Source organism: Homo sapiens, chromosome 22 (genome assembly GCF_000001405.40).
Source record: "Homo sapiens chromosome 22, GRCh38.p14 Primary Assembly".
Lineage (NCBI taxonomy): Eukaryota > Metazoa > Chordata > Mammalia > Primates > Hominidae > Homo > Homo sapiens.
Window position 1 is genome coordinate 18,900,975 of NC_000022.11, and position 11,806 is coordinate 18,912,780.

General features: G+C 56.4%; 1 protein-coding gene across 3 annotated transcripts, besides 9 other annotated features; it reads left to right on the forward strand.

Annotated features, from left to right (window-relative positions):
• Positions 2,440–3,299: an enhancer, noted in NCBI's record as "H3K27ac-H3K4me1 hESC enhancer chr22:18890927-18891786 (GRCh37/hg19 assembly coordinates)". NCBI's record gives its function as "activates a minimal SCP1, AML or CMV promoter by ChIP-STARR-seq in naive H9 embryonic stem cells {active_cell/tissue: H9 hESC(naive)}" and the evidence as "EXISTENCE:reporter gene assay evidence [ECO:0000049][PMID:30033119]".
• Positions 3,300–4,157: an enhancer, noted in NCBI's record as "H3K27ac-H3K4me1 hESC enhancer chr22:18891787-18892644 (GRCh37/hg19 assembly coordinates)". NCBI's record gives its function as "activates a minimal SCP1, AML or CMV promoter by ChIP-STARR-seq in naive H9 embryonic stem cells {active_cell/tissue: H9 hESC(naive)}" and the evidence as "EXISTENCE:reporter gene assay evidence [ECO:0000049][PMID:30033119]".
• Positions 3,743–3,926: a silencer, noted in NCBI's record as "fragment chr22:18892230-18892413 (GRCh37/hg19 assembly coordinates)". NCBI's record gives its function as "represses an EF-1alpha promoter that drives an FKBP-Casp9 reporter gene in an ReSE screen in HepG2 liver carcinoma cells {active_cell/tissue: HepG2}" and the evidence as "EXISTENCE:reporter gene assay evidence [ECO:0000049][PMID:32094911]".
• Positions 4,275–4,813: an enhancer, noted in NCBI's record as "H3K27ac-H3K4me1 hESC enhancer chr22:18892762-18893300 (GRCh37/hg19 assembly coordinates)". NCBI's record gives its function as "activates a minimal SCP1, AML or CMV promoter by ChIP-STARR-seq in naive H9 embryonic stem cells {active_cell/tissue: H9 hESC(naive)}" and the evidence as "EXISTENCE:reporter gene assay evidence [ECO:0000049][PMID:30033119]".
• Positions 4,814–5,351: an enhancer, noted in NCBI's record as "H3K27ac-H3K4me1 hESC enhancer chr22:18893301-18893838 (GRCh37/hg19 assembly coordinates)". NCBI's record gives its function as "activates a minimal SCP1, AML or CMV promoter by ChIP-STARR-seq in naive H9 embryonic stem cells {active_cell/tissue: H9 hESC(naive)}" and the evidence as "EXISTENCE:reporter gene assay evidence [ECO:0000049][PMID:30033119]".
• DGCR6 (DiGeorge syndrome critical region gene 6) lies at positions 5,249–11,114 on the forward strand. Of its 3 annotated transcripts, none has more exons than NM_005675.6 (5): positions 5,346–5,510; positions 5,591–5,751; positions 9,198–9,298; positions 9,914–10,054; positions 10,566–11,114. In NM_005675.6, exons 1-5 carry the CDS (start codon positions 5,401–5,403, stop codon positions 10,713–10,715), a joined length of 663 nt encoding a protein of 220 aa, NP_005666.2. In that variant the 5' UTR covers positions 5,346–5,400; the 3' UTR covers positions 10,716–11,114. The 3 variants fall into 3 exon arrangements, with proteins under 3 accessions (XP_047297465.1, NP_005666.2, XP_047297466.1); XM_047441510.1 differs by lacking the exon at positions 5,346–5,510 and adding an exon at positions 9,006–9,124 and having other exon boundaries at positions 5,665–5,751; XM_047441509.1 differs by lacking the exons at positions 9,914–10,054; positions 10,566–11,114 and adding an exon at positions 9,006–9,124 and having other exon boundaries at positions 5,249–5,510; positions 9,198–9,297.
• Positions 5,352–5,889: an enhancer, noted in NCBI's record as "H3K27ac-H3K4me1 hESC enhancer chr22:18893839-18894376 (GRCh37/hg19 assembly coordinates)". NCBI's record gives its function as "activates a minimal SCP1, AML or CMV promoter by ChIP-STARR-seq in naive H9 embryonic stem cells {active_cell/tissue: H9 hESC(naive)}" and the evidence as "EXISTENCE:reporter gene assay evidence [ECO:0000049][PMID:30033119]".
• Positions 7,446–8,149: an enhancer, noted in NCBI's record as "H3K4me1 hESC enhancer chr22:18895933-18896636 (GRCh37/hg19 assembly coordinates)". NCBI's record gives its function as "activates a minimal SCP1, AML or CMV promoter by ChIP-STARR-seq in naive H9 embryonic stem cells {active_cell/tissue: H9 hESC(naive)}" and the evidence as "EXISTENCE:reporter gene assay evidence [ECO:0000049][PMID:30033119]".
• Positions 8,150–8,852: an enhancer, noted in NCBI's record as "H3K4me1 hESC enhancer chr22:18896637-18897339 (GRCh37/hg19 assembly coordinates)". NCBI's record gives its function as "activates a minimal SCP1, AML or CMV promoter by ChIP-STARR-seq in naive H9 embryonic stem cells {active_cell/tissue: H9 hESC(naive)}" and the evidence as "EXISTENCE:reporter gene assay evidence [ECO:0000049][PMID:30033119]".
• Positions 8,853–9,555: an enhancer, noted in NCBI's record as "H3K4me1 hESC enhancer chr22:18897340-18898042 (GRCh37/hg19 assembly coordinates)". NCBI's record gives its function as "activates a minimal SCP1, AML or CMV promoter by ChIP-STARR-seq in naive H9 embryonic stem cells {active_cell/tissue: H9 hESC(naive)}" and the evidence as "EXISTENCE:reporter gene assay evidence [ECO:0000049][PMID:30033119]".

Below are 11,806 nucleotides of genomic sequence, written 5' to 3' on the forward strand. Positions count from 1 at the left end.
CTCTTTACATATTGTTGATGTGAGCCCTCTGTCAGTTCTATGTGTTCATAGATCTGTTCCCACTCTGCAACTTGCCTTGTCACTTTCTTAGTCTCTTAATAAACAGAAATTCTTAATTTGAATACAGTCTAATTTATCAATTTATTCCCTTAAAACTATGGCTCTTTGTGAACTGTTTAAGAGATCTGTCCCCATTCATGGTCATAAAAATTGGCTGGGCATGGTGGCTCACACCTGTAATCCCAGCACTTTGGGAGGTCAAGGTGGGCAGATCACCTGAGATCAGGAGTTCGAGACCAGCTGGCCAACATGGTGAAACCCTGACTCTACTAAAAATACAAACATTAGCCAGGTGTGGTGGCGGGTGCCTGTAATCCCAGCTACTTGGGAGGCTGAGGCAGGAGAATCACTTGAGCCCAGGAGGTCAAGGCCGCAATGAGCAGTCATTGTACCACTGCACTCCAGCCTGGGTGACAGAGCAGGATGCTCTTTCAAAAATAAACATAAAAGTAAATCTAATGAGCTCTAGGATTTCTAATTTGAAGATAGAAGCGATAAACAAAATAAGAAACCAAAATACATTCTGTTTTGATTAAAGCAGAGGTCAGCCATAACTCTGAACCTAAAAAGGAGGTCACCTGAAGCAGCTGTGAGTAAGCAGGGTAAGATAGGAAGCAGAGAACCGATGCTCATTGCCAGATCTTAGGAAAAAAATAATAAATTAGGATGACATACTTTTGCAAAATTAAAGAAATCCCCTGAGGTGCTAATACAAAATTTCATTTGTGATAGGACTAATAAAGAAATTCAGCTAGTAGTGGGATCTGTCGTGGACTGAGTTTGATTCCAAGAACAGAAGAGGCAGGACCAGTGAGAAATAGCACAGACATATTTGCAAAAGCAGCCCTCCCACGTTAGGAAGAAGGGATACTTTTGCACAGTGAACAGCACTACAACTGCTCATGTCTTTCATGTACTATCACACATGGAATGACTGAGATAATCCTGTGTTCCACACATAGTCCTCCTCCCATCCCCCACCACTTAGGCAAGAGCTGTGCCCAGGAAATGTCACCCGTAACTGGTCTGCACAGACCCTGTCTTCTAAAAGGGTGCTGTGCCTCCACCAGACCCCATGAGCAATACATTTGTCAAGCACACGCGAGACATGCCAAGGCCAAGGCCTGACTGATTTGACAGTAAAGACACAATGAGCCCCTCTCATTCAGAGCTTATTACTCACAGAGTGAAAATAAGAGAAGTCTGAGGTGGCAGCTCCCTGCCATCCTGGTGCCACACACTAAAAAGGACAGCACCGAAACAAAAGGGGTCAGAGGGCATGCATTGCAGGACACCCAATGCAGAGGAGCCCCTTGAGACTGCAGCTGGGTGGTGTCCTCATCTGCAGCTCTGTTGTGAGGGCCAGGGGCAGGGCAGTGAGGAACCCTCACCAGGGCCAGTGAGGCAGGCAGTGAGGAACAGTCTTGGGAGACAGAGGAAGTGACCAGTGGCCTGGGTGCAGCCTGATGTTCTGGGAGGAGCAGGCTTAGGTCAGGTGCTGTGTGCACCTCTGTGTGGCCTATGGGGATCCTGCAATGGCTCAGGGTCTCACGGCAGAGCTGTTTCTCTGCCCACACAATGGACTCACAACCTGACACACGAAAATTCACAGAGAAACACAGAAAGGCACACGTGACACTCAAAGACAGACCCACACAAAAGCCATGCAGCAAAGCCTTTTGCCACACATGCACATGCACACACACACACACAGGCTCCCATCCTTTCAAACCACAGACTTGGTGTTTGCCCAGACACACCTGTGTCAGAGAAAGGGGATCTGCAGCTCCCCAACATACACCAGTCACTCCACACTAACCCAAGGTGTCACCAGCCAGCCTGGAGGACTTGGGAAGCTAAGTGGAGGTGGACAGTGGCCACAGAGCAAAGGCCTTCAGTGGATACCACCTGATGTAAAGAGCCATGGGGTCCACCATGTGCACGCACACAAGGGGCACACATGTCTGCGCACCAGCTCCCCCATTCCTACACACATATCACCCATCCCTAGGGCTCTGGGGGATGAGACCCCTCCCTGAAGACCCACAGGAGTCCCCATGCCTGAGTGACCCACTGCTCACGTCCATGCAAAAGAAAAGAACTTTTTATCTGAGGAATGCGAGACCCCTTTAATTATCTGGCCCAGAGAGTCACTGGACTGAAACAGCAGTCACATGTCACTCCCACTTGAGCTAACGACCTCTTGAAGCCAATTGCTCTGTGGGTTCCAGACTGACACCAAGTAGACATAAAAAGCCAGACGCTGGACACCATAACTCTTCCCCTGTAGTCCAACACCTTATAGCCAGTCACTAAGGTTCTCTCTGGAAAGCAGTCAGAATTCCTGCTGACTTCATATCAGCCCACTCCTTGTCCCCTTCAGTCTTTAAAAACTTGCTTGTAATAAGGCTGAATGAAGTACTCCCAGGGCAACTTGGTGTGTCCTGGGCAGCTCTCTCAGCCTTGGTCCAGACAAACTCTCTATATGAACTGTGGTTCAGTTTGTTTCTTTAGGTCGACATCCACATTAGGGGAGCAGTGCTGCTGGGCTGGGGAAGCTGGTTCAGGTCAGATGTTGCACCAAGGGTTGGAGAAGGGGCCTTCCTGCATCAGCACCCGGACAAGGCAGAGGAGCAGGTGTCCAAACCCAGGCCTGGTCTGCTGCTGCTGTGGCTCACAGCCCCCACCCCACCTGGCAGACCTGGCAGACCCCGGAGCTGGCGACAGTGTTGCCCAGCTGGCCACAGACATATCATCACGTGGGGCTGCCCTATATGCTCCCAGTCTCCACACAGACACCCTTCATGGACTGGGGGACTGAGGGCAGGGACACTGGTGAAACAGGCAGGCATCTTCACCCAGCTACTCATCCCACTCACCACCTCCGGGGGAGGTGACAGTGACCAAGCCCAGCCCCAGCTGGCTCCTGGTCACTCACTACAGACTCAGCTCCCACAATCTCGAATCCCACCTCCAGCTCCTGCCATTCCGAGGGACCTGGAGGCCAGGGTGCCCGGCGCATGACCAGCTCTGGGTTGTGGACCGCCCTCCACGGCAGTGGCCTGAGCGCTTGTTGTCATTATTCACTTTATTCACTCCTGGTTTCTGTCTGGAAGGGATCACAAAGACATGGCTTGCAGGGGAGCCAATCCTGCCAGGGACTGAGGAAACAGATCCTGGAGAAAACCAGAGACTTTGCTGGCACTTCAGGGGGACCCCAGTTGGCTCAATGCCCCCCTCTCCCCCATAGCCAACTGCTAACCAATGTTCTCTCTGGAAACCAGTCATAATTCCTAACCTGGTCAAAGCAGGGTCATCTCACACAGCCCAGCCACCCATTCTTTAGCACCGCAGGCAGCTAAAGAATGCCTGGTGAAATGCAAGTCTGATCGTGTCTGCGTCCCCAAGCCCTTCCGTGCCCCCTGCTGCTCTTTGGACAAGCCCCCAGCAGCCTCTGTAATGCACAGCACCCGCCCTTGTCTCCTGTGCTGGCTTCCGCAGCCTGGCCACACTGGTCCTCTCGCCCATCCACCTGACCTGACTCTGGCAGGGCCTTTGCAGGAGCCATTCCTCCACCCGAACCCCTCCTATTAAAACGTGTTCCTAGCCGGTTCAGCCCCAGCCTGTAGGGACCAGCCCCACATGGTCGGTGGGTCTCTCCCCGTGTGCCGCAACGAGAGAGTGTAGAAATAAAGACACAAGACAAAGAGATAAAAGACAGCTGGGCCCGGGGGACCACTACCACCAAAGCGCGGAGACCGGTAGTGGCCCCGAATGTCTGGCTGCGCTGTTATTTATTGGATACAAAGCAAAAGGGGCAGGGTAAAGAGTGTGAGTCATCTCCAATGATAGGCAAGGTCACGTGGGTCACGTGTCCACTGGACAGGGGGCCCTTCCCTGCCTGGCAGCCGAGGCAGAGAGGGAGAGGAGACAGAGAGAAAGATAGCTTATGCCATTATTTCTGCATATCAGAGACTTTTAGTACTTTCACTAATTGACTACTGCTAGCTAGAAGGCAGAGCCAGGTGTACAGGATGACTAGGCATAATAAAGGCAGACTAGGAGCGGGACCACTGAAGCACAGCATCACAGGGAGATGGTTAGGCCTCCGGATAACTGCAGGCAAGCCTGACTCATGTCAGGCCCTCCACAAGAGGTGGAGGAGCGGAGTCTTCTCTAAACTCCCCCGGGGAAAAGGAGCCTCCCTTTCCCGGTCTGCTAAGTAGCAGGTGTTGTTCCTTGACACTTTTCACTACCGCTAGACCACGGCCCACCTGGCAACGGGCATCTTCCCAGACGCTGGCGTCACCGCTAGACCAAGGAGCCCTTCTGGTGGCCCTGTCTGGGCATAACAGAAGGCTCGCACTCTTGTCTTCTGGTCACCCCTCACTGTGTCCCCTTAGCTCCTATCTCTGTATGGCCTGGTTTTTCCTAGGTTATGATTATAGAGTGAGGATTATTATAATACTGGAATAAAGAGTAATTGCTACCAACTAATGATTATTGATATTCATATATAATCATATCTAAGATCTATATCTGGTATAACTATTCTTGTTTTATATTTTATTATACTGGAACAGCTCGTGTCCTCGGTCTCTTGCCTCAGCGCCTGGGTGGCTTGCCGCCCACACCAGCCACCAGAAGCTCCCCAGCCCCGGCCCAGCAGCTGGTCTGGGGAGCGGGGAGAGGGCAGTCTGGGCTCGCGGTTCCGGCTGGGGGCTGGGCACCCCGGGGCGACCACGGCAGGCCCAGATGGGGACTCCGGTTCCAACTCTCCTGGCCCAGAGGCTCTAGGGTGGTCTTGTCTGTCTCACTCCGGGGGCAGAGAGGACGCAGACAGACCCCAACACCACTGCTCGGCCGCGATGGTGCCTTAGACCCAGGTCCTGTGGGCTCTGGCCCGAGACCCCTCCCTCTGGGAAGGCCGGTGACCGGGACAGTCCACCTCGCAGGCGCGCCGGCGCGGAGCCCGGACCTCAGCCCGCAATGACTCAGCAAGGGCCGGTGGGATTCTACATGGTCCTGCGATATCCAGGCGACGGAGTCTCGCCTCTAAAGTGGCCCGGGGAGCAGGAAGGTATGAGCCTCAGCTGAGCGAAACCCTCCTTGCAGCCACCACGGAGGGACGGGGCGCGTCTCCTTCTGAATGACGCAAGGGGCGGGGCGCGTGGTGGGGCGGGGAAGGCGCGAGGCGCGCCGCGATCGGGGACTGTCCTAAGACGGGCGGGGCGCGCTGCGCTAGGGACTGTCATAAAAGGGGCGGGACGCGCCGCGGTCGGGATGACGTGAGCTGGGGGCGCTCGTCGCTGCAGCCGGCGGCTAGCGGGCGTCCGCGCCATGGAGCGCTACGCGGGCGCCTTGGAGGAGGTGGCGGACGGTGCCCGGCAGCAGGAGCGACACTACCAGCTGCTGTCGGCGTTACAGAGCCTGGTGAAGGAGTTGCCCAGGTACGCGGGCGGGGCGGGCGGCGGCCTGCCGAGGCCGCATCGTGTCCCGCCGGGGCTCACCGCGCTCCTCTACCCCGCAGCTCATTCCAGCAGCGCTTGTCCTACACCACGCTGAGCGACCTGGCCCTGGCGCTTCTCGACGGCACCGTGTTCGAAATCGTGCAGGGGCTACTGGAGATCCAGCACCTCACCGAAAAGAGCCTGTACAACCAGCGCCTGCGCCTACAGAACGAGCATCGAGGTGCGCGGGGGCAGCGGGAGGAGGTGCCGCCTCCTCGGGGTCGGCGCCTCCCGGCAGCTCTTGGTATCTGTGCAGCTCGGCTCCTTCCTTGGGAGTGTTCGGAAGAGGTCCCTAAGATTAACAAAATCAAGGGCGCAGAGACTGAGACAGCGCCTTTTTGGTGACCAATGTGTCCAACGAGTTTTGTTTTCAGTTGCGCAGCACCCACCTTCTTAGCAGAAACTCCCTGTTCGGGCTTCCCTGTGCCCCACCCCCTTCCAGGCCTGATGGCCCTAGGCCTCCGTGCTTGGTTGGCCGGCAGGCTGACTCTGGTGGTAGATCTGACTGCGTTGCCCTCCGGTAATTGGAGTTCTGTTGACAGGTGAGCAGCGCCCTTGGGTAGTTGGAGGTCTGTTGACAGCTGTGCGCGCCCTTCAGGGTCAGTTCCCTCTCAGGCCTGCAGGGCCTCATTCTAGTTGCACATCAAATTCCTAAGCACTGTCTCCTGTGGCGCCCTCCCAAACCAGAAGAGCTTCCCACTTGAGCCGCATGCTTCCTGGGCTTCGGAGCCCTTTCCTGCAAATTATATAGGGCAGGTCCCCCTGCACCATCAGATTTCCACCTTTGCTGTTTTATTTTTCCCAAACTTCTTATTTTAAAAGTTCAAACATTTGGAAAAACTGAAAAGACAGTGTAGTGCATACGCTTGTGCTCTCCACCGAAAGTTCAGTAGTTAACATTTTGCTCTAGTTCTTGACATCCCAAAATACATACATGTGACAGCATAGAATTCACCAAGAGTCTTCAGCATTCCTGGAGACCAGGATTTTCAACCCAGCCATGCTGACATTTGTGGCTGGGTAAGTCTTTATGGTGAGATGCTGTCTTGCGCATTGCAGGATGGCAGGGGTACCCTCCCTAGTCGTGAAAACCAAGAATGCCTCCAGACAACCTGGGTGGTGGGGTCAACCTTGGCCTTGGATTGGGAGCAAGTGCTCTAGAACAAGAGCGGTCTCCTACACAGCTGCAGAGGGTAGCCCCCTGAGAAATTAACTGTTCCAGGTGTCTCCTGACTTTCAGTGCATGGCCACATCATGGTACCTAACTTGTGGCAAATTGTTGCTTTATAAGTAAGGATCCAGTCCAAGTTCATGTACTACAATTGGTTACTTTGGTCTCTTTGCTTCTGGAACAGTCCCCAACATTTATTGTGGCATTGACTTTTTATAGAGTCTAATTCTATAATTAGAATGCCCTGCTCTGGATCTATCAGAGGAAATGCTTCCTCGTGCATTTAACCTGCTTCTCCACTCTCTGGGTTTACTGTACACTGGACTCCTGGTAGGAGCCTGATTAGAGGCAGGTTTAATGTGGCAAAAATTCCTCCTAGCGGGGCAAGGCCCCCTTCCCCAGAAGGCAGGCAGTGTCCATCTGCTCCAGGATTGGTGTGTTTCTATCAAGAATGGATGTTGGATTTTGGCAGTTTCCTTTTTGGCAGCTCTTGAGATGATCACGTGGTGAATCATTTTCTATTACTACAGTGAATTACAGTCACTTGAATTCCATCCTACTGGGTCGTGCTGTAGTATCCTTTTTATGTATGCTGGATTTGATTTGCTAAAATCTTGTTAAGAATTTTTTTGTCTATGTTCATGATAAACTGTGGTCTATAGTTTTCATGTAATACCTGGTTTGGGTATCAGGGTTTTTGCCAGCCTTATAGGATGAGTTTCGAAGTGTTCTCTCCTCTTCAGTTTTCCAGAAGAGTTTGTGTAGAATTGGCATTACTTCTTCCCCTAAATGTCTGGGTGACTGTCTTTTTAAAAATTTTATTGAGCTGTAAGATGCATGCAGTTTACTAATCCCAAGTGCATGGCTCATTATTCCTTAATGCTCAGACTGTGCCATGTGTGGCCAGTTGGGGGCGCTCCAGGCACCTTTAGATGCCGCCCCATCATTCTGTGAGCACTTTCTTGCTTTCTGGTTCAGGTATGTGTTCAGGCTCATCTTTTCTTGTTTTCTCCGTGTCTCAGTCCTGGAATCGGCCATTTTTCCACAGAGTTGTAGTTCTTTCTAGCAGGATGGGGAGTTTCAGTAACTGCCTGGGCCCAATGCTGTTTGTGCTTCAGAAGGTTTGGGCCAGGTCCTGGTTCCACCAGCAGCAGGCATGCCTGCGTTGACTTTCTGCTTCTCCTGCTGATTTGGCAGGGGTGACTGGCTGCTCCTGCCTCCTTTGTGTTCCCGGTCGTGTCTAAGGCCAGGCCCCTTCTGCCCAGGCAGCCGGCGTGGCTCTCTTCTTGCCTTTTGGTTGCATATCTAGTGGAATCTCGTAGTGGACCTGGCACTTGTAGCAATGTTTGATCAGTAGAGTGAAGATGATGACATTTCCCTGCTTCCCTGTGTTATGGAGCTGTCTTGAGGGGGGCTTTTGGTAAATACCATCGTCGAGGTGTGTACAGAATGCCAAGAAACAGGAGATTGGGGAAGGCTGTAGGCACAGCTGGAGCCAGGCTACCTGCAGGGGAGCCTCAGGGGCCGTGGAGTTCCCTGGAGACTTGCCACCAGAGAAGAGCTGCAACATCAGGGCTCTTCCCAGGAACAGAGTGTTGGATTTCACGTTTTGTTGTGGCCAGGGACCCCTCCTTCCTGGGGAACTGTAGCCATTTGGCACTTAATGCACTGGCGCCAGCTGCGGGGTGCTCCATGTTCCATTTTGCCATGATGGTTTATGTCCCATGATCGCTTCCTCTGTACACTCCCTTCAGACTAGAGTTTGCACATCTGTGTTTGTGCACAGTTTAGCAGGGACCGTGGAGCTTTGCTTGGTGGCCGAGGGTGAGCCCCTCAAAGCCACACAGACTCCCTGGCCCAGAGCCTCACAGGCTTATGACACCCCAGGTTCATCCCAAACTTGGGCCTCCCAGGTCAGCTCACCCTTCTCCCTCTGGTGCTGTGTAGGGGCTGGGAGCTGCAAATGGGGGAGGGGGCTGCCCACCCTGAAGGGCAGCACCAAGGGTGGAGGGGCCAACCACACACCTGGTAGGCAGAGGCCCCACGCTCAGGGTCAGCGACCCGGCTCCTCCTGCTCCTTTCCCATGCCTTTGCCTGAGGTGGTCTCCAACACTTGAGTAGATGTCCTATGGCCTGTGGCCACGGGGGCCCTGAAGCCCTCAGACTGCAGCCTCCCTCCCGCCTGCCCCCTCCAGCTGCCCTGGGTCTGGGGCTGCAGCTTTGGCCCCACCTGGCCAGTCTTCCCCACCCCCACTCTCTTTCAGTGCCCCGCACCTTCTGGAATCCCCTGGAGACTTGCCGTGACAGTGGGGTGGGAGGATGGAGGAGGCTGGCGTCCTCCCCAGTGCAGACACCCCTTTGGCCTGGCTGCTCTGCTGGGTTGGTAAGGCAGGTGCCCATGGGTGAGGGCTGCTGCCGAGTCCCACCGCCTGCTGACGGGCTCTCATCCCTCCCAGTGCTCAGGCAGGCGCTGCGGCAGAAGCACCAGGAAGCCCAGCAGGCCTGCCGGCCCCATAACCTGCCTGTGCTTCAGGCGGCTCAGCAGCGAGAACTAGAGGTACTGGGGACGCAGGCAGGGTGGCCGGCCCAGCTCTCCTGTGGGCACCACCTGGCTCTGCTGACTGGGCTGAGCTGAAGGGGTGTGGGGGGCTCAGGTGTGGGTGGCTACCCTGGGCCTGAGTGGGACACTGGAGGCCTAGTGAGTCCCACCAGGTGGCTCCTCGCTGAGGGTGCCAGGTGTGCTGGGACTGGGTGGAGGGTGAGAACCCACCAGTGCTCCCCTGGAGTCCATTAGTGCCCCTCGTGGGTTGGGGTCTCCGCAGAGCAGGTGGCCTCGGGGGGTACAAAGGCAATGGTGGGGTGATGGGGCCAGCCAGGAAGGGGCCCATCCTTCTCCCCGGGAGCACAGGGACAACCAGAGACCGGCATGTAACCAACAAGTCATGGGGCAGGGTGTGCCTGCGGAGATGTGTGTGTGGTCCCAAGGCAGTCCCAAGTCAAAGCATTCGTGGAAGCCCCTTGGGGCCCCCTTCAGGGGTTCACTTGGCCGAGGAGAGGCCTGGGTGTGGTGAGGATGCATTGGTGGTGTCAGAGCTGGTGCTGTTGGGGACAGCAGCAGGAGCATGTGTTTGAGCTGCCCTCACCTCCCCCGCCGCCCCCGGCCCCACGGCAGGCGGTGGAGCACCGGATCCGTGAGGAGCAGCGGGCGATGGACCAGAAGATCGTCCTGGAGCTGGACCGGAAGGTGGCTGACCAGCAGAGCACACTGGAGAAGGCGGGGGTGGCTGGCTTCTACGTGACCACCAACCCACAGGTCAGTGCCTGGGCCTGCTCTGTCCTAGCCCGAGTGCCCCTGGGCCCCATTCCATCTGGGATTTCACTGCTGGTCCCTGGGGAGCCAGGCTCAGGGTATAGGGGGTGAAGTGGAAGGATTGAGGCTCTGGAAAGGATTTCTGTGCCATTCCCAGCATGGAGGCCAGGCCCATTCCCTACAGGGGGGTGAGCCAGCCAGCCATGGGCACTGCCCACCCTCCCCAGGCCTGCTGTGCCCCACAGGGCCCTCTTCTGCTCCCCTCCCGCATGCCATTCCAAGTGGCCCTGCTGGGTGCAGAGGCTCAGATTCCGAGTGGCCCTGCTGGGGGCAGAGGCTCAGATTCCGAGTGGCCCTGCTGGGGGCAGAAGCTCAGATTCCACCCTGTCGTAGCAGGCCATGACCAGGCTTCACAGGATGGTCGCCCCGTGGGCTCACTGCCTGGCACCTTTGGGCCGGGATGAAAGGGGCCTGGGGGTCACTCTGGCCTTCATGGGGCCCCTCTGTATCCCAGGAGCTGATGCTGCAGATGAACCTGCTGGAACTCATCCGGAAGCTGCAGCAGAGGGGCTGCTGGGCAGGGAAGGCAGCCCTGGGGCTAGGAGGTCCCTGGCAGTTGCCTGCTGCCCAGTGTGACCAGAAAGGCAGCCCTGTCCCACCATAGCCACAGGCAGCAGAAGTCTGGGCAGAGTTCATCTTCTTGACCTTTGGCCACTGCCTTCCCAGCTGCCCGCAGGGGGTTCCCCCTGCTGAGGAGAGACCAGGTGGACCCCAGCTGCCTGTCACCCTTCATCTGGGACTTGCTGTCAAACCCTAGGATAGTCTCATAAAGGGGAGGCTGGGCCAGCCTGCTGCTGTCTGCTTCAGGGCCAGGCAGAGAGTGAGGCTGGGGGTTCTCACACCTTACTCCACCGGGCACATCCCAACCTGCACTGGGGCCCACTCGAGCGCTTGTTCTGGTCTCAGCCGCTCCCTTGGCAGCTGCAGCCCCCATGCAGAAGAGGCTCCCAGGCCCAAGCTCTGTGTGACCCAGAGAAATAAAGATGCCTCAGTGTGGCCCGCATGTGGCTTGTGTGATAGCTGCAGGTTCTGCCATAACCGGGGCCCTGGTAGGGCCCCCACCTCTGTTGCAGCAGAGGCCTCTACCTGGGGGCCCCTTCCTGGGCTGTGTGCCCAGCCCACCACCCCTCCCCCTGCCTGGAGACTGGGACCCTCCAGCCTTTCCTGCCCCAGCCCTGGTCCCAGGATGCTGTCACTGCCATCTGTACAGGGGCCCCCATCCAAGCCCCAGGGCATGAGGACCACATCCAGCCTGCTTTGTGGGGCTGGGGGCTGGAGAGCATGGGAGAAGGCCCGAAGTGCAAGTATGCGCCTGCCGCAGCCTGGTCAGTGTCCTGTGGGAACCACTAGGAGGAGCCTGATGCAGGTCACTGGGGTAGAGGACTCAGGGTGGCAGGAATGGCCTGAGGAGGAGCCCTGCGGGGAGGCGTGCCAGGCCCACCTGGGGAGCTTGGCCTCTGCATCTGCATGAGTCCCCTCCGTGCTGGCCTGGGCCCATGGGCCCTGCTGGGTCCTTGTGGAGTCAGGGTTGGGGGTGTCCAGCACCCTGGGTGGCCAGGTCTGCGCAGGGCCTGGCCCCCAGGAACAGATGATGCTGGAAGCCAGAGTCTGGGATGAGACTTCTCTGACCCTGTCTGAGCCACTCCCTCTTTGTTGCCCAGAGCTGACCCTGTGTGAGGGCAAAGGGCTCTCAGC